At 37.7% G+C, this 24,767-nt stretch overlaps 1 long non-coding RNA gene across 1 annotated transcript in view, besides 2 other annotated features; it reads left to right on the top strand.

Moving 5' to 3' along the window:
• The first annotated feature begins 12,413 nt into the window (after window positions 1-12,413).
• Window positions 12,414-24,767, top strand: part of LOC107985824 (uncharacterized) — a 35,677-nt gene continuing 23,323 nt past the window's right edge. Inside the window, exons 1-2 of the long non-coding RNA XR_001739217.2 lie at window positions 12,414-12,536; window positions 19,477-19,608. This is a non-coding gene — a long non-coding RNA (uncharacterized LOC107985824). The remainder of the gene's footprint in view (window positions 12,537-19,476; window positions 19,609-24,767) is intronic.
• Window positions 14,650-14,886: a silencer, noted in NCBI's record as "fragment chr2:147705990-147706226 (GRCh37/hg19 assembly coordinates)". NCBI's record gives its function as "represses an EF-1alpha promoter that drives an FKBP-Casp9 reporter gene in an ReSE screen in HepG2 liver carcinoma cells {active_cell/tissue: HepG2}" and the evidence as "EXISTENCE:reporter gene assay evidence [ECO:0000049][PMID:32094911]".
• Window positions 17,973-18,142: an enhancer, noted in NCBI's record as "experimental_53189 CRE fragment used in MPRA reporter constructs". NCBI's record gives its function as "activates a minimal promoter by MPRAs in K562 erythroleukemia cells, with activity observed for the non-introgressed 2:147702819 variant allele {active_cell/tissue: K562}" and the evidence as "EXISTENCE:reporter gene assay evidence [ECO:0000049][PMID:34662402]".

The raw sequence follows: 24,767 nt of genomic DNA, 5'->3' as shown, positions 1-24,767 counted from the left end.
TCCTATGACTTTACTATCTGCATTTGATATGGATGCTCCTTTGTGATTTTTATTTCTGCTTCCTCAATCCACAATTCTGCCCTACTGGGTAATAACATATTAGTGGAAAGAGAGTACTTTATACAGCAAGTTTTTAACTCACCTTTCTGTACTTACCTGGATGCCATGCTATTGTCACTCTAAATGCCACCTACTTCAAGAATTACCACCTCCTCTGTGACACTTTCTCTGACCATAAATTTTAAACACTTGTCTCTTTCAGTGATGAACATTTGGTGATAAGATACCTTGTACTGCTATTTATCTTAATACCTTACCCTACATAGTATGCATATTTTAAATTTCAGAGCAATTTCATGTAAATTATCTCCTTTTTATTCTGTGAGATAGTCAGGGCGGATATAATCTCTATTTTTGTTATGTGGGAAGACAAAGGATTAAGTAATTTGCCTAAATTTCTAAAGAGCCAAGACCAATAGCATAGACTTTCTGACTCTTTATATGATTTTATTTTCAGCATATGAGGCTACACTTAGTTTATTTTTATTTGGAAACCATTTTTTCTCTCTGACTACACTGTAAATCAACTCTGTGAGCTCAGGGACCCACTAGCACTTAAGACTATAGTATATAAAATAGGCCCCCTATAAAATTGTTCACTGTTTAATATTTTGACAATGTCTTTGAGGCAAATTAACTTATAAATCAAAGCAAATTTTCCAAGCTCATCTTTAAAGGATAAACCTCACAATACTAATTCTGCAGCTTTATCCTTCTTCAAGCTTTTATTTTAATATTTCATTTTAAGGTATACTTGCTTGTTTATTTTAAGATGTAAGCAGGAAATTTAGAAAAAAAAAACAATTCCACATTTAGAAAGAGAAGACACTTTCTTTCAACTGAAAGGGAAAATTAAGAGAGGAATGACTTATTGAGGAGAGATGAGTGTAACTGACAAAAGCTCTCACTGGAGTAGGAGAAAAGAACATCATAGGGGGAAGAGAGAAGCATAATGAAATGTAATGTAGGGGTTCTTTCCAGATTGTATATATTGCTGACAAGAGTGGGGATAGGAGGCTCTCACAGGTATAAGGCAAGATTCAACAAGGTTTGCAGTATACTGATGAGCTGAGATTTTCAACCACCAGTGGTGTCCAAAGTAGATAAACTCCTAGCAAGTCAATCTAGCTAGAATGGCAAAATTTTATGGTAAGCATTGATGCTTCTGGATGAGTTGGTTGGATTAAGGAGCAAGGTAAATCACTCAAAAGCCAAAGGTAGGAAATGAATACCTAAGGGAGAGTATAATTTTTCTATTTATAGCAAAAGTAAAATCTAGTTAGGCAAACAATGATACCAACGAACTGGGGTACTGATACATACTCTATAGTTCTTTCAGTCTTTGTATATATCATACAAACTTAAAATAATGTTTATATTATAGTGATTAATGAAATCACTATAATATATGTTTTGTACAAAAATAATGGTGGGTAGAAGCATGTGCTTGTCTCTCTCCTTTCTTGGATAATTTCTGTGGAAGTTACTTTCACTCATTCAACACTTATTTTATCAATCACCATATAAGGTAGGCCCAATAGTAGGCACTGGGGTTATAATGGTGATGTAAGCAGACCTGAGCTCTGGCTTCACAAAGTTTTCAGTCTGGTTGGGGGATGGAGATTCACAAATAAATGTAAAATTAAAAACTGTGGTAGAAGCTTTAAAGGAAAATCTTGGGTTGCTATGGAAACATATGGCAGAAAGATGAGACAAAGTCTGGATGATACAGAATTCTCACTTGAGGAAGGGACATTTGACCTGAGGTTAGAAAGAATTAACTGCATCATTGTAGGTTGGGGAAATGGTGTACAAAAATGAGTATACAAGGCAGAGAGACCACAGGGACTTTAGCGTTCAGGCTAGGAATATCATGGCTGTGGAAGAGCCAGTGTAGAACTGTACATACTGTAACATCTATGTGGGGACCTGCCCAAACAGCAGGGCTAGTGTCCAGGGAGATCTTGTCACCCAGAGAACATCCTCTGCAGAGTCAGTGTTGTATGATGACACACAAGTTTTTCTAATAAAGATTTTAAGAAGAGGCATAATAATGTAACAGTAATTATTTAAAAAATGATGAATATGGTAATTTAGTAAATACCTATTTTGATGGTCATGCACTTGCAGGCTGTTGTTTGACTCACTGCTATCATCTGAATTGTGTCCCCTTCTCCACCCTCCACCATCAAATTCTTGGGGAGGAATTAGGTTTAGATGAGTTTATAAGGATGGAGCCCCCATGGTGGATTAGTGCCTTTATAATAAAAGGCACCAGGGAACTTGCTGTCTCTGTCTCTCTGCAATGTGAGGACACAGCAAGAAGGTGGCTGTCTGCAAACTAGGAAGAGAGCCCTCACCAGAATCCATGATCTCAGATTTCCAGATTGTGAGAAATGAATACCTAAGTAATTTTGTTGTGAAAGTCTGAGCTGACTAACACACTCACAAATTGTTGTTTAATTTTTTTTAATTGTCAACATTTAAAAATGGGCAATGGCAGGGTGTGGTGGCTCATGCCTGTAATCTCAGCACTTTAGGAGGCCGAGGCAGGCAGATCACTTGAGGTCAGGAGTTTGAGACCAGCCTGGCCAACATGGTGAAAGCTCATCTCTACTAAAAATACAAAAAAAAAAAAAAATTAGCCAGGCATTGTGGTGCATGCCTGTAGTCCCAGCTACTTGGGAGGCTAAGGCACAAGAATTGCTTGAACCTGGGAGGCAGAGGTTATAGTGATCAGAGATCCTGCCATTGTATTCCAACCTGAGCGACAGAGCAAGATCTGGTGCAGTATACCCACTTTCCCACAGGATATCAATCTGGCAGGAACTGGGTAGTGTTTGCTCCCTTTAAACAAAATTCATGTCCCAGTTCACAATCCCCATTTCACTTTTTAAAATCTTATCCATTATCTGGCTTTTAGCTTTTACTGGTGTGGTTCCTTTGGGCATTCAGATTTGTGACCTTTCACTAAATTAATCAGATCTAGAAAAATAGTGATGGAAATTTAAACTAGAAAATAAAATATACTATATTTAGAAGATAATTTTTTTTTTTTGAGATAGAGTCTCACTCTGTTGCCCAGGCTGGAGTGCAGTGGCACGATCTCAGCTCACTGCAACCTCCACCTCCTGAGTTCAAGCAATTCTCCTGCCTCAGCCCCACAAGTAGCTGGGATTACAGGCACCCACCACCATGCCCAGCTAATTTTGTATTTTTAGTAGAGATGGAGTTTTACCATGTTGGCCAGGCTGGTCTTGAACTCCTGACCTCAGGTCATCCGCCCACCTCAGCCTCCTAAAGTGCTGGGATTACAGGCGTGAACTGCTGTGCCAGACAGTAAATGATTTTTTAAATCTCATATCAAAACTGTAATAAAAGGTAGGAAGCAGAAAGCTTCAGAAATCCTTGAATGTGGCAGGTAAATAAGTTATAACATCAGTTGTTAGTTTGACAAATCCTTTACTAACTACCTCTTTACTTTCTCTTATTCTAGTAATTATCCCCACCCCTGCATCACCACACAGAAAATAGACTCTTTGATAAAGAAAATGATGACATGACAGAGTTGGTTAAAAAAATAATTGTAATTAAAAGAGAAGAGAAAAATCATATTTTCATATATCAAAATTACTGTGATTTTCAAAAATCATTAAACTCTTGGTTGAATTATCTCAAGAGTCCTTTCCTAGTCTCATAGACTTGTTAGTCTCATTTATCTTATTCACAGAATAAGAAAGAAGAATTTGCTATTTGTTCAATGAAAACACATACATATCTTAGGGGACAGAAAGAAATCTTAGAAATTAGTCTTTGATTATAGTCCAGAAAGGATCTTGAGAAAATCAGCCAAATAGATGGAAAGAAAGAGTAATATAGCACTCTAGGTTATTTTCTCTATTTCTTTTTTTACTGAGAGTTTATGTGTGTGGGTTTAGTATCTCCCCCAGCCCCCACCCCATCTTGGTTTTCCTTGATTTTCTGCCCACCGTTTTTTTTGTTTTGTTTTGTTTTGTTTCTGCTGGGAGTGGGGGCAGAGTCTCGCTCTGTTACCCAGGCTGGAGTGCAGTGGCACAGTCTTGACTTACTGCAGCCTCAACCTCGTGGTCTCAAGCAATACTTCCACTTCAGCTTTCCAAGTAGCTAGGACTATAGGAGGCACATGCCACCAGGCCTAGTTAATTTGATTTTTTTGTAGAGATGAAGAGATGAGGTCTCACTATGTTGCACAGGCTGGTCTTGAACTCCTCGACTTAGGTGATCCTCCTGCCTTGGCCTTGCAAAGTGCTGGGATTACCGGCACCACCCACCATGTCCAGCCCTTCCCACTAATTTTTATTTTTCTGTTGTACTCTTTTCATTTCAGCAAATGGCCCAGTATTGTTCAGGTTTCCCAAGATGGAGATTTGTGTGAAGACATTTTATTGGGCTGTGCTTTTGAGTACAAGAGTACAACACCTGTAAAGGAATGAACAGTCAGAAAGCAGGAGTAGGCAGAGGGAAAAGTACAGTGCAGTTGCAAGAGAAGTCTCTGCTTATTTTATAGTTTTTATAATTATTGTTTGCCAGAACCTCTCAAAATATTTTACTAACCAGTCTATTCCCTTGCACCAGTATTCCATAAGTTCACACACTGTGAAGGTTTTAATAATTGCACTGCTACAGTATGACAGAAACTAGCAGTGTTCCTTATACCATCAGGGGTAGGGTTCTCATGATATTGGGCCCTTTCTACCAATGCATTCTGTATCACTTTGATAATAGGATATTCCTGTAGGCTCTATCACAGAATAAAGTCAGCGGAGGTTGTCCCTGTATGTAGTATGTCCACTCAAGCATACTACTTCCCCAAGTCTTTGAGTTCCTTCTTCCACCATCTTACGTGGCAGTTCTAGCATTTCACTCCATGTGAATGATTACTTTTTCTAACTTTCCCAGCTTCTAATCCAGGGTGTTGGTGGTGCCTTTTGTTTGCTTGTTTGTTTGTTTATAACGAACAGCTTTAATGAGATATAATTCATATACCACACATTTTACCCACTAAAGGTGTTCAATTTAATGGTTTTTGGAATACTCACAGAATTGTTCAACCATCACCAAAACTAATTTTGGAGCATTTTTATCACCTTAGAAAGAAACCCAGTACTCTTTAGATATCACTCCCCATTCTCCCTTTCTGAGCAACCACTAATCTGCTTTTTGTCCTGTAGATTTGCCTGCTATATTTTTTAGATACTTTATATATATTGAGTCATATAACATGCGGCCTTTTATGAATGACTTCTTTTACTTAGTATAATGTTTGCAAGGTTCATATATGTCATAGCACATATTCTACAACGTTCTTTTTTTGTTGCTGTTTATATTTCATTGTATGTATATACCTCATTTTGTTTATCTACTTATCTGTTGGACTTTTTTGTTTTCAGTTTTTACTATTATGAATATTGCTTCTCTGAACATTCATATACAGGCTTTTATATGGACATATGTTTTCAATTAGTCTGCATATACACCTAGGAGTAGAATTTCTGGATCCTATAGAAATTCTATATTTAACCTTTTGAGAAATTGCCAGTCTGTTTTCCAAAGTAGTTGTCCTATTTTACACTCCTACCAGCAGTGTATGAGGGTTTCAATTTCTCCATATCCTCTTTAAAACCTGTTATTTATTTGTTTTTATTATAGTCATCCTAGTGGGATGTGAGGTGGTTTCACATCGTGGTTCTTATTTGCATTTCACTCATGACTAATGATGTTGAGAATGTCTTCATGTGCCTATTGACACATAAAATAACACTGGAGAAGTGCCTATTTTAATTTAGTTTTAAATTGAGCTTTTTTTTTTTTTTGAGACAGAGTCTCGCTCTGTCACCCAGGCTGGAGTGCAGTGGCGCCATCTCGGCTCACTGCAAGCTCCACCTCCCGGGTTCACGCCATTCTCCTGCCTGAGCCTCCCGAGTAGCTGGGACTACAGGTGCCCGCCACCACGCCCAGCTAATTTTTTGTATTTTTATTAGAGATGGGGTTTCACCGTGTTAGCCAGGATGGTCTTGATCTCCTAACCTCGTGATCCACCCGCCTCAGTCTCCCAGAGTGCTGGGATTACAGGCGTGAGCCACCGTGCCTGGCCGAGCTATTTGTTTTTTAAGTTTTAAGAGATATTTATATATTCCTGATATAAGTTCCTTATGAGATATGTGATTTGCACATTTTTTCACTCATTCTGTAGGTTGTCTTTTAATTTTTTGATGATGTCATTTGAAGTATAATAGTTATTAATTTTAATGAAGTCAAATTTAACTAATTTTTTACTTTGTTTTTTTGTGCTGTTTGTGTAATATCCAAGAAAACATGGGCTATGGCTTTTTCAGTGTGTCAACTTGGCTATGCTAAAGTCTCCAGTTTTTTTTGTTTTTTGTTTTTTTTTATGAGACAGAGTCTCTCTCTGTCACCCATGCTAGAGTGCAGTGGTGCAATCTCGGCTTACTGCAAACTCCGCCTCCTGGGTTCACGCCATTCTCCTGCCTCAGCCTCCCTAGTAGCTGGGACTACAGGTGCCTGCCACCACGCCCTGCTAATTTTTTGTATTTTTAGTAGAGATGGGGTTTCACTGTGTTAGCCAGGATGGTCTCGATCTCCTGACCTCATGATCCACCCGCCCTGGCCTCCCAAAGAGCTGCAGTTTTTTAATCAATACTAATTTAGGTGTTACTGTGAAGGGATTTTGCTGATATAATTAAAGTTCTTAATCAGTTGATTTTATATAAGAGGCACTATCCATCTGGGAAACCCTAAGTGCAGCGGTGAGGCTTCTCTGAAAGACAGAAATAATTGTGGATTACAACTTTGGTCTGTGTTTGTGAATTGTCATCTCGCTCTTGATCTTCCCTTATTGAATGCCTTCTCCATGAATTAGAACACACTTAGCCAGCCCCAATAAGTGTGTAAGCCAATTTCTTTGTAAAAAAATTGTGTGTATACATGTACATATATATGTTTATACGTGTGTATGCATGGTATACACACAGGCACAATTTCCTGTTGGTTCTGCTTCTTTGGGTGAGCTCTGAGTTCAGTGATATAGTGTTAAATCTAGTGTTGTCAAAGGATGGTGTTTCCCTATCAATAAATTTATCTCAATAAATACATTAACGTGATTTTTAAAAATAAATGATCCCTTTTCCAGCTTTGTATTCTGCCCTCCTCCTCTTGACCCATAGTCTCAGAATCCAAGTCCATGCTTACCTCTCAACCTCTGTTGGAAAATGCTGGATGCATCCTGAAGCTCCTTTAGTGTATATTACCTTGTGTTTCTCAACAGACCGAACAGTCTTGCAGCTGGATTATGTCATATTCTTATAATTATTGCTCTAGAGCCCATTTAGGAAGGTAGGGAGAAATGTTCTCCTGCAAGGCAGATGCCTCGATATGGTCATTAGACAATAGTGGAGCACACCTACACCTTTCACCAGGAGGACAGGCCACTTCTTCAGGGAAGTCAGTTCAGGGAAACCTAGTGACTCAACTTTTTTTGTTGTTCATCCACTCAAATAGGCCCCTCCTACCTCTGAGGATCTCACTTCTTCTCAATCAGAACCTCGACCATAGTTATCAGATGTTCTGGTGGTTGGGAATTTGATCTTCTCTGGGCTCTGCTAATCTTCTACCTTAGTTCTGAGTTTAATAAACACCTTGTGTGCACTGCAGCTATGGTAGGTGAATATATCTTTACATTCTGCCAAAAACATCCACTGCTTTTTTTGTTTTATTTTTTTCAAGTTGGTGATCATTCAACCTCAGACTGTCATTAACTTGTTCTGTTCATTGACAGTTTCCAGAAAGCCACGCAAAGCCATAGTCTTGAACCTCTCAATCACATGACCTAATACACTAACCAGTGCTTCCCTTTCTATCAGTATTTCATTCCATTTCATTAATTGTGACAGTTGTAACAATGGACCCATTATAGCATGCTACAATACTATCAATGTCTATCAGGGAAGGGGTCCTCATGGCTGGCCTGCCAGCAGGTGACGATCTAGTTCCAACATCACATTTTTAGATTCTGCTTGTAGAGCCTCAACTAACACAAATCCCCTTAGGTTGGATACCCTGGAAACAGATTCTGAAGCAGAGATCTGCGTAAAGGAAATGATTGGGAGGGTTTTCTGGAACCACACCATCTGAGGGAGTGGGAATCAAGACTGGACAGAGAAAGAAGCAGAACTGCATTCCACAACAAAGGCCTCAAATGCACCTATGGAAATCTCTGAGCTGGGGTGGCACTTTAGAATTGTTCTGGATTTTGCCCCACATTTTAATGGGCCAAGACTTTTTAGCCCATTTTCTACCAGTCTTTCTCTAGAGGCTGTCTCTGGGAAGGATGTTCAACTTTGGGCAAGGCAGCAACTTTCAGCTGAGAGCAGTTTCCAGGGAGGGACTTGGCTATGAGCAGTCAGCAGTCAACACTCCCAGAGGCTGGGGAATGAGTGCCTTTTTCCTGAACGTGGGAAGGAAGGATTTGGGCAGCACACCACAGCATCTGCTACATCACACCACCATCCCACAACTGCTCCGGCTCAAAACCTGGATCCTTCTTCTTCTCACGTCCCACATCCAAGCCATCAGAGTCCGCTTGATGAGACCTCCCAAATATCGCCTGAATTTGTTCACCTGTCACCATTTCTACTGCAAAAGTTCATATCCAAACAACTGTTTTCCTTTACCTGGATGACAGTCTCCCAATGATTTTCCCTGCATTAGCCTATTAGCATTCATCCATTTTCTTCACAACAGAATAATCTTCTGAAACCATAAAGTGTATTTCATATTTTAGAACCTTCTAATTGTTTCTTATGGCAGGTAGCGTAAAATTGATGTTCATTATCATGGTCTACTCTCATCATAACAGTTGCCCTTTTTGAGTCCAGAACCTGCTAAGTACATTGCGTTCATTATTTCATATAATCCTCACAGTAGCCCTTTCAAGATGCTATTCATGTCACTATTTTACAGATAAAGAAACTGTGTCTTAGTGAGGTTAAGTATCCAGCATGACTACAGCTGCAAAGCAGTGGAGCCTGGCTTTGAACTTAGTCCTGTCTGATCCCAACGCCTTACACAATTCTACCATCCCTGTTGTTAATATGTGTACGTATATTCAAATTCCAAACTTTTGCCCTCGTTTTAGACAAACATTGTTTTGGCTTCTCAGACAACCTCTCACCTATGAAATCATCACCACTATTAGCAACTCATATTTTTTTCCAAGAACATAAAGTATTTAATAAATATAATTTAATTTTGTATTTTGTCTTCACGAATATTCAGAAAATGATGGAGTCAAGAAATAATTTCAGATGGGGAAAGTAAGCCGTAAGGAGGTCAAGAGAACTGTCAAGGTAACCAAGTTAGCTGATTCTGGAAAGAGGAATAGAAATACATCACCAGCCTCTGAGCAATGCCTTTTCCTACCATGGCCTCCTGTCAGCCTGTGGGAGTTTCTTCATGACAATACTACCTCTATTTCTTTCTTTCTTTTTTTTTTTTTTTTTTTTTTTGAGACAGAATCTTGCTGTTGTCACCCAGGCTGGAGTGCAATGGCGCGATCTTGGCTCACCGCAACCTCCGCCTCCCGGGTTCCAGCAATTCTGCTGCCTCAGCCTCCTGAGTAGCTGAGATTACAGGTGCCCACCACCACGCCTGGCTAATTTTTGTACTTTTAGTAGAGACGGGGTTTCACCATGTTGGCCAGGCTGGTCTTGAGCTCCTGACCTCAGTTGATCCACCGCTTCAGCCTCCCAAAGTGCTGGGATTACAGACATGAGCCTTTGTGCCTGTCCACTACCTGTATTTCTTAAGCTGCACACCACTACCACTCGATATCCGTGTTTTCAGACAAGAATGGAGACTCGCACTCTAGGAGAAGCAGTCTGGGGTCGTCATTGACTAATCAGAAGGATGGCCAACAGGCTGGAGGGCTTGTGATTTCTTAAGCCTCATGCAGCTTGAAAGGCCGGCAGTCTTCATGCACTTGAGAACATTAAAACCTGATGCCTCCTTGTGAAGGTTTCTTCTGGGAGTGACAATTCATCCACATCTTTTGAAGCTTCAGGTTTAAACCTGGGTCACTGCAGTTGCTCCAAGAATTGAGAGGGAGGAATTGATATCTTTTAGTGTTTTTTTGTTTCTTTTTTTTTTTTTTGTTCAGCAAAATTATCTCAACATTGCATGCAAATAATTAAAAATAAAACAAAAAGTCAGAAGAGCTGCTAGTTACTATTTAATAACCAGCTCCGTGGCAGCAGTGCACATTCCAAAGATTTCCCAACAGGTTGTGTTTATACTGCTAAACCTCCAGCGGGTCCAGCGTTTTCCCCCAGCCTAGAGCACACTCCAAGAGCTAATATTTTCCCTACCTGAGAACTTTAAAAATGACCTAAAAAAAATAGCCAGGAATGTAGTGGCTCATTGTTGATGTTGTTGTTAGCCTAGAGAAGTTAGCAGCAAAAACTATCTTCTTGTTTATTACTGAATAGATGATGAGAATACTCGTTCTTTGTCAACTTCATCAGAGAAATTACCATACATTAAGAGAAGGCAAGTCATTTCAAAACTTGGTATGCAACCTATTTGTTTCTGGAAAATCAGGATATAAACTTGAGCTTAAAAGCAATGAGAAAGCTCAAAAGGAAAGATTTGTAAATTGTAACATTCTGACTTAATATTTCTGTTAAAAATACAGATACTGAGATCTGTTAAATAAATAATAACCAATATTTTTGTAGGCCTGTGTGTAAAGACTACTTTGCACATGCTATTGCATTTGGCTGTGTTAAGTTTTTCAGGATTCATGAAATATTATAGTAACAAGAAGTACCACTCTGAGTATGTCAGGAAGTGTGAAGTGTTGGTGCTTGTAGCAATAAAACCACTGAATCTTTTCCTAAGGAATTTCTTGGTATTGCGTTTTATAACAGCTGAGTTGGCTAAAGGATCCTTCCTTTTAGCTTTATTGAATAGTTCTTGGTCAGAGTTATCTATTTCTAAATGAATATACTATCTGCACACAAAACTTGCAGTGTATAGATCAAACCTTTAATTAGTAGTTAGCATATGGAAATCTATAAGAAAATGATGTGGTTTATGGGAAAAAATATAGGGTCACAAATCAAGAGATGAGAATGCTGTTGAGAATAACAATAATAGCAGCCAATATTTATTTAGTTTTTAGTTTGTGCCCAAAACTGTTTTAAGCTTTTTCTCTATAGCTCATTTAATCCATGTAACTATTCTGTGGATTAGATCTTGTTGCTATTTCTGACATACAGATGAGGACACTGATGGTTAGAGGAGTTAAGAAACTTACTGAAGGGCCCTGAATTTTTAGGTGGAAGAGCTGGGATTCAAAACCTAGAAATGTTAGCTGTAGAGCCCATGCTATTAATGGCTTTACTGAATTGGCTTCTGATTAGTAGCTCTTCCCTTGTTAAATGAACATGGCCAATGTCCTTTCATTTTTATTCAATCTATTGCAATGATCTGATACCTACCATCCCTATTCCCATGAAGTTGTTTCCAGGATTAACTGAAATAATATTTTTAAAAGCACTTTAAAAGATAATGTGCTCTTCAAATGCAAGGTGATATTATTACATTGTATACAATGGTTAGTTACTCAGAGCAATGGTCCATTAAATGGTCAGCAATGAGTGTATTTGGTATTCTAATAAATGGAACCACAGTAACAGGCTTCTACTACATGTACACTCATTAGTTCTTCCTAGAATTCATGAGCAAGTCAAGGCTCAAACTGCCTCTAAACACAGTTATTTGGAGATACATAGGCATATTTCCGGAAACAGGGAGGAACTGCTGTTAATTGTTTGCACATGCAGACATTGTCTCAAATATGATTTTGCTATTTCAGAGATTCCCTTGTCATAACTATCAAAATGACACAAGCGGTACTTTTTTGTAATCTCCGTATTTGACGCATGAAAGAAGACTTAATTCCTGTTTGAATAAACAACATAATAAGGTTATTGAGATTAGAGACCATTACTATATAAAATTATGTCTAAGTGGCAGATATAATTAACATTGGATTGTAATTACACTAATTACAAGTCACATTAAGACACTCCAGTAATGACAAAGTGAGAACCCTATAATTGAATGGAATAAGTAGGGAAACATGCTGCTCACACTAATTACCTAAATGAGCTAATATGTCTTCAGAGTGACAGTCATGCTCAATGTTATTACGCAGACAAAGCAGTTGAATGAGGTATTTTTAAATTTATTTTTATTTATTTATTTTGCTAATTTTCTTTCTTTATTCTCTCCAGGACCTATTTCAAGTCATCACCTGCTTCAGAATTTCACTCTTGAGCCAAAGAAAACAAAAACTGCAATTAGAGATTTCTCTAACCTTGTTAAAGGAGACTATGCACAGCAATCCATAAACTCAGGTAAGATTCCAATCTTAGTGTGTGTGGAATGTACTGAACACCAGTTGGTTTCTCAGACTGGCAATGCTCTGAAATTTCTCCTCTGTTCGGCCTTCCAAATCAAGCAGCTCCAGCTCACTGTGTAGTCTGCAGCATAACAATCATCATATTGTGGGTGCTGAAGAAACAAATATGGCTTCCAGCAACCCCACTTCAGAGAGGCCCTGGAAAGTGGTAAAACCTGAATTATTCAGGACAATTAGTGCAAACATTGCACTGGAACTCATATTTCAGCCTAAGCTGTTATGTGAGACTGTAAACTAATAGTGGAATATGAATTCACGGCACTGTGAATATTGTTTTTTTTTGAGTTGTTATTTCTTTCCCCGCTTCATATTACTTTTCATTTATATGCCCCCAATTGTCTGGGTCACTGCTTGGGTGAGAAAAGAAAATAAAGGGAACAGACTGAAGCTATTTAAAACCTTTCTTCCAAAAAAAGAGATTTTTTGTTTTTAAGGCAGGGAAATCACAATATGTGGAAAACAGAATTGATGCACTTAAATTGATAAACAATGCTGAGCATTGCTTTTCTTTCTCTTGTGTTGGTGAAGAAAGAAAATTGTGTCAGGCATGCTTTTGTTAGCAGAGCTTTGGAGCGGTTTCTGTGCGTTCCACTTTTTACTGTAGCCATGTAAATGGGTTTTTCTTATCTTCATCCAGAAACTGCAATTTTGCCTCTAAGAAACCAGGCCTATGGGTTTCTAATACAAAGCAGTAAACCAAATATACAAGGTTTATTTTATTTATTTATTTTCGAGATGGAGTTTTGCTCTTGTTGCCCAGGCTGGAGTGCAATGGCGTGATCTTGGCTCACCGCAACCTCCGCCTCCCAGGTTCAAGTGATTCTCCTGCCTCAGCTTCCCGAGTAGCTGGGATTACAGGGATGCGCCACAATGCCCGGCTAATTTTGTATTTTTAGTAGAGACGGGGTTTCTCCATGTTGGTCAGGCTGGTCTCGAACTCCCAATCTCAAGTGATCTGCCTGCCTCAGCCTCCCAAAGTTCTGGGATTATAGGCATGAGCCACCACACCTGGCCCTACAAGGTTTACTAATAAGTGGGTGCTATATTAGTTCAAAGGTGACAATTTTACCCTCCCACCCTATTCATATTTGGCATGTAGCTAAGAAATAATGACCTTGTTCTTTTGAAGTACTCCACTTCCAGGGTTATGTATTTCCTGCAATCAATTATATTTTAGTTCAAAATTGACTTAATTTTGAATTTGAATTAGGGTTATACTCCATTAATTCTGTAGTTGTACGAATTCATATAATCAAGCATTAGGATTTTACATAAGAAGATGTTTATTGAAATAAATAGTAATGCATAAGAAGATGTTTATTGAAATAAATAGTACTGGAGGCCAGGCTTCCACTAATGACCACGCAAATCAGAGGCAAATGGAGCTTGGCATGTTTAATCTGAGATAAGGAGTGGGGTGACTTAGATTGTATCCTTAGCACTATCCTGTTCTCACTGATGATTTTGCAAGTTATTCATTATTTCTGTTTTGATATGATGGCGATTTCACTGGTTACTTGCAACTTATTTAGTCCTTGAGGCTTAAAGCAGCTCAGAAACTTATTTCATTTTATGTCACTACCTCCTGGTAAATGAGTTAGCCAAGTTGGCAGAGCAGTAAGATATCCCAGACCAGGGTTGGCAAACTTTTTCTGTAAAGAGCCAGATAGTAAATACTTAAGTTTTTCCGGATCACATATGGTCTCTGTCACATATATTTTTTTCACAACCCTTAAAAAATGTAAAAACCATTCTTAGATTGCTGTATACTAACTGTGTATATTGTGTGTATATTATCTATGTACAATTAGTATACAGGGCTGTATACTATTAGGCCATAGGCAGAATTTGGCCCACAATCTGCTTGCCAGCCCCTGTATTAGACAAATACAGGGTGTCACAGGGAAGATTGTTCTTTATTAGAAACTGAATAGAAAACTACTCAAATCAACTTTTCCTAAATACTGAAAAATGAAATGTAGACCATAGATACTCAAAGATATGGACATTTTAATTCTATTTATACTTGAATAAATTACTATACTTGGACTATCTGAGTTGGAGATGGGATGGGGGCTTCCACACAGGCCATGGGGAGCAACCTGGCCTGGGGCTGGGGGTCAGAGCCTAGGTGAAGTGAGGAGGACATCTATGCAAAGCTGGAGATGGACTGGTGACATAACAGGGTGATAGGGTTTGCCTGTGTCCCCACCCAAATCTCACCTCGAATTGTAGCTCTCATAATCCCCACATGTCATGGGAGGGACCCTATGGAAGGTAGTTGAATCATGGGGTGGGGGGGTTTCCCATGCTGTTCTCATGATAGTAAATAAGTCTCATGAGATCTGATGGTTTTATAAAGCACAGTTCCCCTGCACGTGCTCTCTTATCTGCTGCCATGTAAGACATCCCTTTGCTCTTCCTTTGCCTTCCACCATGATTGTGAGGCCTCCCCAGCCGTGTGGAACTGTGAGTCTATTAAACCTCTTTTTTTTTAAATAAATTACCCAGTCTTGGGTATGTCTTTGTTAGCAGCATGAGAACAGACTAATACACAGGGGTTTGATCAAATAAGTAATTCTGCTAAAGGTATGGTGATCCAGGTATCAGAAGAGAGTTACAAGTATGGAAATGAATAAAACTAGAATGATTTCTGAAGTTTTCAATACATGTGGATTCATAAATAAATATAGATGTAAGTTGTGGTATACATACACACACTCATATATAGTCATGTACTGCTTAGTGATATTTTGGTCAAGGACAGACTCCATAAATGACAGTGGTCTCTTAAGATTATAATACTGTATCTTTACTGTACATTTTCTATGTTTGGATATGCAAATACTTACTGTTGTGTTACAGTTGCCTACAGTGTTCAATACAGTAACAAGCTGTACAGGTTTGTAGCTTAGGAGCAATAGGCTGTGCAATATAACCTAGGTGAGTAGTAAGCCATACCATCTAGGTTTGTGTAAGTACACTCTATGATGTCCCTGTGATGACAAAATTGTATAATGATGCATTTCTCAGAATGTATCCCCACTGTTAAGTGATGCATGACTATATACCTTTCCTACCTCTGTCTACTGCAAGGGTCTGGGAGCAGCAAAATCTTAAAAAGAATGAACAGTCTTAGTGCCCAGATCATGAGTTCTCAATATCATTCTCCATTAAATGCAACCAGGGCTCCTCAGAGAAATGATTGATTCCAGAACTAAGGCAGGAAACGTATGAGTCTAGAACTTTTTTTTTTCTGTCCTGGAAACAAACAAAAAGATCACAGAGTAACTGGGTTGTGTCAAAAAATCCAGAAATCAGTTTGAAGGGCCCCTCATCAGGAGAGTCAGGAACAATTTCAGGAGGGCTGACTTGGGTAGGCTGCTGTATCAAAGGGCTTGGATAACCATAATCCCTCATGGGAAAAGGAGTAGCAGACAAGAAGGTGTTGGTGGAACAACGATATGGAGGGGAAACATTCTCATTGTCAAAGGTGGTTTAATACCTGGGAAAGAATCCTTGATATTGCCATTTTGCTTCCATGAACACTGTAGAAAAACACTTGGTTCCACTCCTGGTCCTCCAGGCCCCATTCCAGCACACTCAGATGTGTAATTCTTGCACCCCCTGTCAAGCACACCCACTTCCTTATCCCTAGTAACTGGCTCTATCTTTAGAGTACTGTATATATAAAAAAAACAAATCAATACTAAAGCCCATTGAGTATCTTGGTGCCACCATGATAGGTCAGTTCAGTATTCTCCCTATCACTGCTCTAACAAATTTTCTGCTATAATTCTAATATCTACATTCTCAAACCTTAAGACATATTTCTGTGCCTGAGAACTTCTTATCTAGACTAGAAACTAACACTGATTGTCTGACATTCCTTTTTTTAATTAATCACTTTTATTTTAGGTTTGGGGGTACATGTGAAAGTTTGTTACATAGGTGAACTCATGTCATGGGGTTTGTTGTGCAGATTATTTCATCACCCAGGTATTAAGCCCAGTACCCAATAGTTAACTTTTCTCCTCCTCTCCCTCCTCCTTCTCTCCACCCTCCAGCAGACCACAGTGTGTGTTGTTTCCTTCTTTGTGTTCCTGAGTTCTTCTCGTTTAGCTCCCACTTATATGTGAGAATATGCAGTATTTGGTTTTCTGTTCCTGTGTGTTTGCTAAGGATAATGGCCTCCAGCTCTATCCATGTTCCCACAAAAGACATGATCTCATTCTTTTTTATAGCCGAATAGTATTCTATGGTGTACACGTACCACATTTTCTTTATCCAATCTGTCATTGATAGGCATTTAGATTGATTCCATGTCTTTGCTATTGTGAATAATGTTGTGATGAACATTCACTTGCATCACATTCCTTTCTTAACCTCTGGGGTTCAGTATGTTATGCTGTAAAAAATGGACCTTCAGCTAATATTATTATCTTAGGCTGTAACAGACCTTCCCAGATACTATCTGTCTACTCAGTACTAGATCAATTGTGACTGTAGAGTTCACGTCCCTGTTTGAAAGTTCATTTGTAGGTATCTCCACCTATGCTGAATAAACAGAGGTCCAATTTAGGCCCCATTTTCCCTACGTTTATTTTTTGCAACACTTCTGGATGTACTCAGTGATGTTTTCAGATGTAAATGCAATCTCCTGCCTAAAGCAACCTTGGCTAAGTCAGAAAATATACCAAATGCCTTAGTCCCTCCATCTGATGGGGCTTAGAACTAAAGCCCCCCAGAGAAACAGCTAATCTGGTCATGACTGCTGGGCTCTTTGTTGCTCCCCCAATGCCTTTGCTACCAAGAAACCTATGTATGGCCAAAGCCCCAGGAGTGTTCTTTCCCTGCGAGGCTGTGCGCCTTTGCTTTCCTTTTCTTCTCTTTCCTGTCTGCACTGTGGCTCTGTTCAAAGGCTTGAATTTTTGCCATGGTTCCTGCTCCTTAGTTCTGCCTGAACCACGATCTCATGGTTTCAGCACTGTCATTTTCTCTTTAGTGTCAGTCCTTTTCACCTAAGAAAAGATTCCCGACCTGTATATAATCCAGTTTGGTAGCTAGGGCACTGCAACATCTGGACAAATCTTTTCAATTAAAATTTCTTCCCCATCATAATATGTAAAATATGTTTAAAATGTGGTCTGAATTAGGTTCCCTCACTGGTATTTGGTGCATATGTGTACTCCTTTGAGACCCCCTGTAGTAGTCTCCTCTTACCATCCCTTAATCCACTGGGTTTCACCTTCCTCACCCTTCTTGCTTTCCTGCCATCCCTTGAGCTCAGTCTTGCTTGAGTGAAGGCAGTTGTAGGCAAATCAGTACTCTCAGTGTCACTCAGGCATGGTTCTTGATTTTAAGGCACATCCTGGCACCACATAATATTCCGTCTGCCACGTGCTACTTTGAATGGATAGCCTTGAACCTGAGATGCAACCTAATGAAATTGACTGACGTGCTATTCTACATTTATATTTTTCATAGTGCTCTAACCATAGTTAAGAGCAGAGTTTTGGAGTTGAAGCCTCACCTTGACTCTAATTCTGGGCAAGTTATTTAACCTTTCTGGGCATGGTGGCACACCATGAGGATAATGTATAAATAAAATGTGGATAACAATTCATAATTAATCATGAGGTCATTAAGAAATGATAACAATAGCTATTTATCCAGAGATATGTGAGAGGGTGCTGTGCTAAGTGCTTTACATATATTATTTCTAATTCTTAGAATTACATTACATAGAGTATTGTATTCTCATTTTATAGAGGAGGAAATTGAGGTTTAATGTGATTCAGTAATTTACTGAGCTCACCACAGTAAGCAAGATGCAGAACTAGAATCCAATTCCAAGGTTTGGCTAACTCTTAAACTCTAGCATATTTCACTTTGTTCTGCTGGACGCCACTAATGGGAAGGTTTTTCTCCAAAAAAACAAAGAGACACATTTCTCTGTGGCATTTCCTGTTTTCCTTTTTCAAACATCTTTTTAGTTGCAGAAGAGTTGCCAGAATCAAAGACATAATTCATGTGTTGAACTGCTGCAGGCTGGGAAGAAAAATGCATTTTTAATCGTTTAACTCGTTCACTGCGGGTATTTAAGTGCTTCAGGTGAGGTAGAAATAGACATATTTTAATGAGAAGTTGCATTGACTGGACGTTGGTGGGGATGAAGGACATGTGAGACAGGAATGGCAAGATTCTAAGGATCCTAGCCTGCAACATACTAGGTGCTTTTGAAAATGGTAAGAAGGTGAATTTAATTCTTTGGGATCCTGGGGAAAGCGAGTCTCCACAATGGGCTGGAGATTTCCTCAGGGTAGTGTTTCCTGATCTCTTTAAAGTTGGTCCCCTAAGTATTCTTTAAGCCAGCGAACTGTTTGATTCCTCAATCACATTTTTTATATTTGTATTTATTATATTTGTCTGTTTTCCTTATTTTTTCCCTGGAATGTAGTCTTTAAAGACCAGGCAAATGAAATAGTGATTGACACATAGTAAGTGCCCAATAAATACTTGTTGAATAAATATGACAAAAGTCCAAAGAAGATCCCCTACCTATGTGTGGAGATTGAGTTCAGGAACTGCCATACTAAAATCTACATACCTGTTCAGGGATAGCCAGGCAAGATAATAACATGTATAAATGCATTTTCATTAATATTTCCTCTGTACAGTTTTAATTCTAGAAACAGGCTTAGAAATAAGATATGGTATCTCTTACCCACAAATACATGCAGGGAGGAAAGCAGGATTAGATGGGATTGAAGAAATGGGGCTGTGGAAGTTGATGCTCTGACACAGATGGCCAGACAGTCTAAGAGGCAGTGCAAAGATGTGGACAATTTCAGCAAATGTTTTTTTTTTTCCAGTAGGTGCAATTTCATAGGTCTGAAGGAGGTGTAGGATGCATGACACCCAAAGTAAGATACACAGTGGTGTCATCGTGGTGGCTCAACCCAGCAAAGAGCCAAGAGTGTTCCAGTGTTCAAAGGAGAAGACAGGTAAGAAATAGACAACATCAGTTTGCCTTTGAGTTCCTATGGGTCAATAGCACCCTTAGATGGCATATCATACACTAGACTTAACTTTGTAGCCTTTAAATCATGTTATAGAATTTGAGGGACTAGAAAAATATTCGCAAGAATTCACTGAATGATATAAGGCTTATACAAGCATATGTACCTTTTGAGGCAAAACATCCCTCTATATTTTTATCTACAACTATATATGCAGAGAAAAAAAACAGATTGGGAGGAAATATATGAAAATGTTATTAGTGATTATCTCCAGGTGGTTAAATCTCAGGTGGTATATGGTTTCATCTGCATGTTTTCCAAGTCTTCTCTTGTTAACGTGAATTACTTACAGAATAGAAAAAGCAAATATTAGAAAAAAAAAACAGAGGAAGACTCTACTAGGCAAGATAAATCAAAATACATCAGACCGTGCTGGTAATTCTTCTTATGTCTTTTTTTCTTGTCCACTGGATGAACTTTTTTGCTCTCTCTCTGAACTACAGACTGTAGTACATCCTGGGTTGGTTCTTGGCATCTTCCAATAAACCCCTGCTCAGTCAAGATCCTGCTTTGACAAGGTCTAACCTCTTGCTGTTCACAACATGTGACATTTAGTTGTGATGGACATAGAGACCTGGACTTCATTAGAAGAATTTCAGGCAGGAAAATTGAGGCAAATATCACATTTGGAGATATCCTGATATGTTACCAGATATCTCTGATACACCAGTTATCAGAGATCTTAAAGTAGAAATCTTTTACCTAACATCCTTAATGACAACTCCACAGACTTCTACATGTGTGATAAAGAAGATGCTGAGATATGGTAAAAATGTGAGAAACAAAATACTGAATGTATTGGTTTATTTCTAAGATTATAATGGCTGCTTTAGAATTATGGATGAGATTAGAGCTGAAGTTTTTTGTGGAGCTGGAAAAGACAAAGACAGAGTAACCCATATCTAATTCTTCCCATTGTCGGCCTCTGGTTGTCCTTCACTCTTATTTTCCCAATTATATCTACCCTTTCTACCTCACAAGAAAGCCTATTTGTCACATTTTCCCTTCAATCATAATATACAAGTTCTTTATTTTATTCTTTGCCAGGTAACTGATTAGGCTCTTTTTTTTACATGAATCCAAGTTGAGGTGTTGATAGCTGATAACGACTAGATGTGTGAGATGTGTTAAAATGTGTGCTGATAACATTGACATTTGTTCAGTGACCTTCAGAATCTTAAGTCTAGTGGGAATTTAAGACACCATGAGGTGCTGTAAGATAAAAAGTGTAAGAGCAAAAGGGTCTTTCATAACCCCAGATAATATAGACAGCTGTCTAATTGAGCTTAACATTTGGCCAATTCTTATTTTCAGAGCAAATTGTCTGGAATCAATCATGTTTACCTCTGATTTCTGTGCAATACCTAATATTTAAAACTTAAATTTAAAAAATTGTAACTACTTATTTCAGAAAACTTTTGATGTTGGATTTCAAAGATAGTCTGATCTTTTTTTATATAGTTCCATTAAGATGATTGTTATGTACTCTCTCCATCAAAAGAATTGAACATCAATGGTAGCCGTAACATGGTATATTTGTATATTCAATTCTGTATCCTTTTGCAAGTTAGTCAAGGATAGAGAAGTTAAGTTGCTTGAAAAAAAATACTATAAAACTCTGTGACAAAAACACTGATTATTTCTAAAAGGTCAATTGAAATGGACTGATTATGCTTTGTCATTAAGTGGCCCTTAACCTATACTGTGCTGCTCTTAATTTCCTTGGTGTGGCCTTGTGTTTGTGAAATTCACATTTAGAGTTCTGATTAGATTTTTTTTTTTGCATTAAGAAGAGAGAAAGACAACCACTTTTTCCTTCCAATCATTTGTGCATTTTTTTCTTTTTTTCCTGCTTTGCCTTTAGTTGAACTGTTTGCCTATATCATTTTATTTTAATGCATATATCAACTTTTGCTTTATTGTCCTCTTAAGACACATGGCAAGTAGGAGATTTTTTTTATTTGGCTATCTGATTGTAATTCAGAGGTGTGTGTGTGTGTGTGTGTGTGTGTGTGTGTGTGTGTGTGTTTGAAGTTTAAGAAAGTTTAAAAACAACTTCCACCATGAGATCAGTTGTAAGACATTGTGGAAAATCACTTAATTTCTGTATCTGCCTTCTCATCTAAAAATTAAGAATAACAGTGTGTTTTTGTATTTTGAAAAGTGATTGTAAAGTTCACAATGAAATAGTTAAAAGAGGTTTTAAAAGTATAAAGTACTGCTTAAATATAAGAAAAATGCTACTTATATTGCTTTGATTTTTTTGTATTTCTGCTTTATAAATTGCATATTTTAAAGATAAGTATGTTACTCAAATTTCCTGTTTTTCTTTATTTTTATTGAGATAATATCTAAAGATAAAATATCTACATAAAAATATCATAATGATATACATAGACATACAAATATTTTTCCTTTTTTTTAATTTAGTGTAAGATTTCCATTTTGATTCTCAGTGAGTAATAATCTTAAATTTGGCAATTTGATTAACATACATACACTTTGTATTTATAAAATTATGGTGAAGAACTTAAGGTTTGCTCATTAACGTGAAATAATACAAGCTATGATTAGACAGTGACAATTCTGTTTTGCCATATGGTTAGGAGACAACAGAACTTAAACTTTGAGGAGCTAAATAAGTAAAACAGATTGTTCTGCCATTGGACAAAAGTCTCTACAAAAATTTGACAATTGTGCAAACTGAAAAAAATATTCATCATGATTTTACAGTCAACAATTTTAAGATTTTTTTTCTTGTGATGCTATGCTTCAATTCGTATATTATGCTGATCAGGTTAGCATCAATCTTTTTAAGTAAGACATTCTGTGCTGGATAATCCCTGTACAGTTTTTGAGGCCATTTAAAATGAGTAAATAAGTAAAGAATTTGTGGTCTATGGGATTGTAGAAACAATTTTGAGCAATTTTGTGCTACAAATATTAGAAGAATATATATTGGTAAATACTATATTAATGGAAAAAAGAACTCACATTTTGCAAGAGACTTAAAATAATTAAACGAGCTCTTTGACTAATGCTAACCCCTGTAATAAATCTGTCATTTTTTTCCCGGAACCTTGCAGTTGCATGGAATTTCTACAGTCTCTGCAAATGCGACCTTATTTGGGCAGATATTTTTAAATGTTTGCCAGAAAGTAAACAGGAAGCAAATCTGAAAGTAATTTGGAAAAGTCAGGAAGATACTCTCCTTCCAAGAATCTAACTCAGTTACCACTGCTCTCCTTGCTTCTATTTAATACTCAGATAGCTTTTTGTTTAAAGAACCAGGTGACAACTGTAAGTTAAGTGGATTTCAGCACCTTCCGGACACCTCAAAATAAATCACCCAGATTCTTCTCTCCCTCCTGCAGCACCACCCCCCCCCCATTTAATGAAGAGTTGTATATGCTGCAAGAGACTATTTGATCATTGAAGAGAGACAAAATGTTCTGCTTTTCAGCACATTTTAATCCACAGCTGGTGCACAGATTGGCAGAGAGTATATGTTAGTTTTAGCTGTGAATTTTTTCAAGTTGAGGTTGCCTATATTTAGATCGCTGGAGTTTTAGGATTGCTGAAAGTAAATGTTTGAATGAGAAAAATATTGACTGGAGGAAAATACTGTTTAATAGAGGTGTTGATTTTGACCAGCCTAAAATATGCTCATGTTGGATGAACATTTGTAATAGGAGAAATAAAATTGTGGGTATTACTGGGAAGGCACATTTATTCAATTACCATGCACTAAAGATAAACTAAGGTGTTTAATTTGGTGTCTAAAGGGTACTTGACTCCTTTGGAGAAAAAAAATGCTTTTGTAGGTTCATTTCAGAAAGCAAAGTATTGAACTTTAGAGATAGAGAAGCCAACACACAACCTAATTCACACTTTTAAAGTTAATTTTTCAAATCATCAAAATCCTAAAGTAATTACTATTGATTCTTGGACTACCTTGCAAAACAGGCAGTTCATCCACAGGAGATAATGCAATGTTGATATGTTATTTCTTCCTGAACTGACTGAATTCATTCAACAAATATTTATTAAGCACCTGTGAAGTGCCAGGCAATGTGCCAAGCACCGAGGATGTTTTAATTTAACTTTGATTGTTACTGCTCTGTGAGATGTAAATAAACACAATAGATTGTTTTAAACCCTGATTCTATTCTATTATATGCTTTTTAAAATAACATGGGTGAATTTATTTCTTAAGATTTGAGTGCTTTTTTAGCCAGAATGTTATTTCATTAGTTTTAATGGTAGATTTACCTAGTAGCTCAAATAATTCAGAATGTGTAGGTTTTACTCAAACCTTACCTTTGTTCAGTATGAGATGCATAGAATATGGACTCAAAGTAACAGAAACTATAGCATTATATGACTTTTTCTTTCCAAATCTCTCTCACACATAAAGTAAGCTGAAGAAAGTTAGTTCTAGTATAAAAAAGGATAACTGTTTTAAATAAGAATTATTGTTTCAAAATGAGTGTAGAGGAATGAATTGGGTTGTTGGGTGTTGGAGACCTCTACTTTAATTTAAACAAGATAAATCATTTTTAGTTCATTTATTTGTATTTTATCACCAGGTCAGGAATTATACTCTAAGTTAAACTGCATAGAGAGGGGGAAATTGGAAGTATATATTCAAAATATTTACCATGTACATTATCTGTGAATTAAAAAAACACCTCAACTATGACTTTGTCTTAGGGAAGTGATTGAAGATATAACACTATATGTACAAGGAGAGTCATAATTATGTCATTTGTAATACTGAAAAATGGATATAAACTAAATATATATTATAAAATATTTCTTAAATAAATTACAGTACAACATAGAGGCCGGGTGTGGTGGCTCATACCTGTAATCCCAGCACTTTGGAAGGCTGAGGCAGGTGGATCATGAGGTCAAGAGAGCAAGACCATCCTGGCCAACATGGTGAGACCTCATCTCTACTAAAAATATAAAAATTAGCTGGGCATGGTGATGCGCCCCTGTAGTCCCAGCTACTTGGGAGGCTGAGGCAGGAGAATTGCTTGAACTCAGGAGGCAGAGGTTGCAGTGAGCCAAGATTGCAC

The sequence above is a fragment of the Homo sapiens genome, chromosome 2 (genome assembly GCF_000001405.40).
Source record: "Homo sapiens chromosome 2, GRCh38.p14 Primary Assembly".
Lineage (NCBI taxonomy): Eukaryota > Metazoa > Chordata > Mammalia > Primates > Hominidae > Homo > Homo sapiens.
Note: the sequence above shows the minus strand (reverse complement) of the source record. Positions and strands in the feature narration are given on the sequence as shown.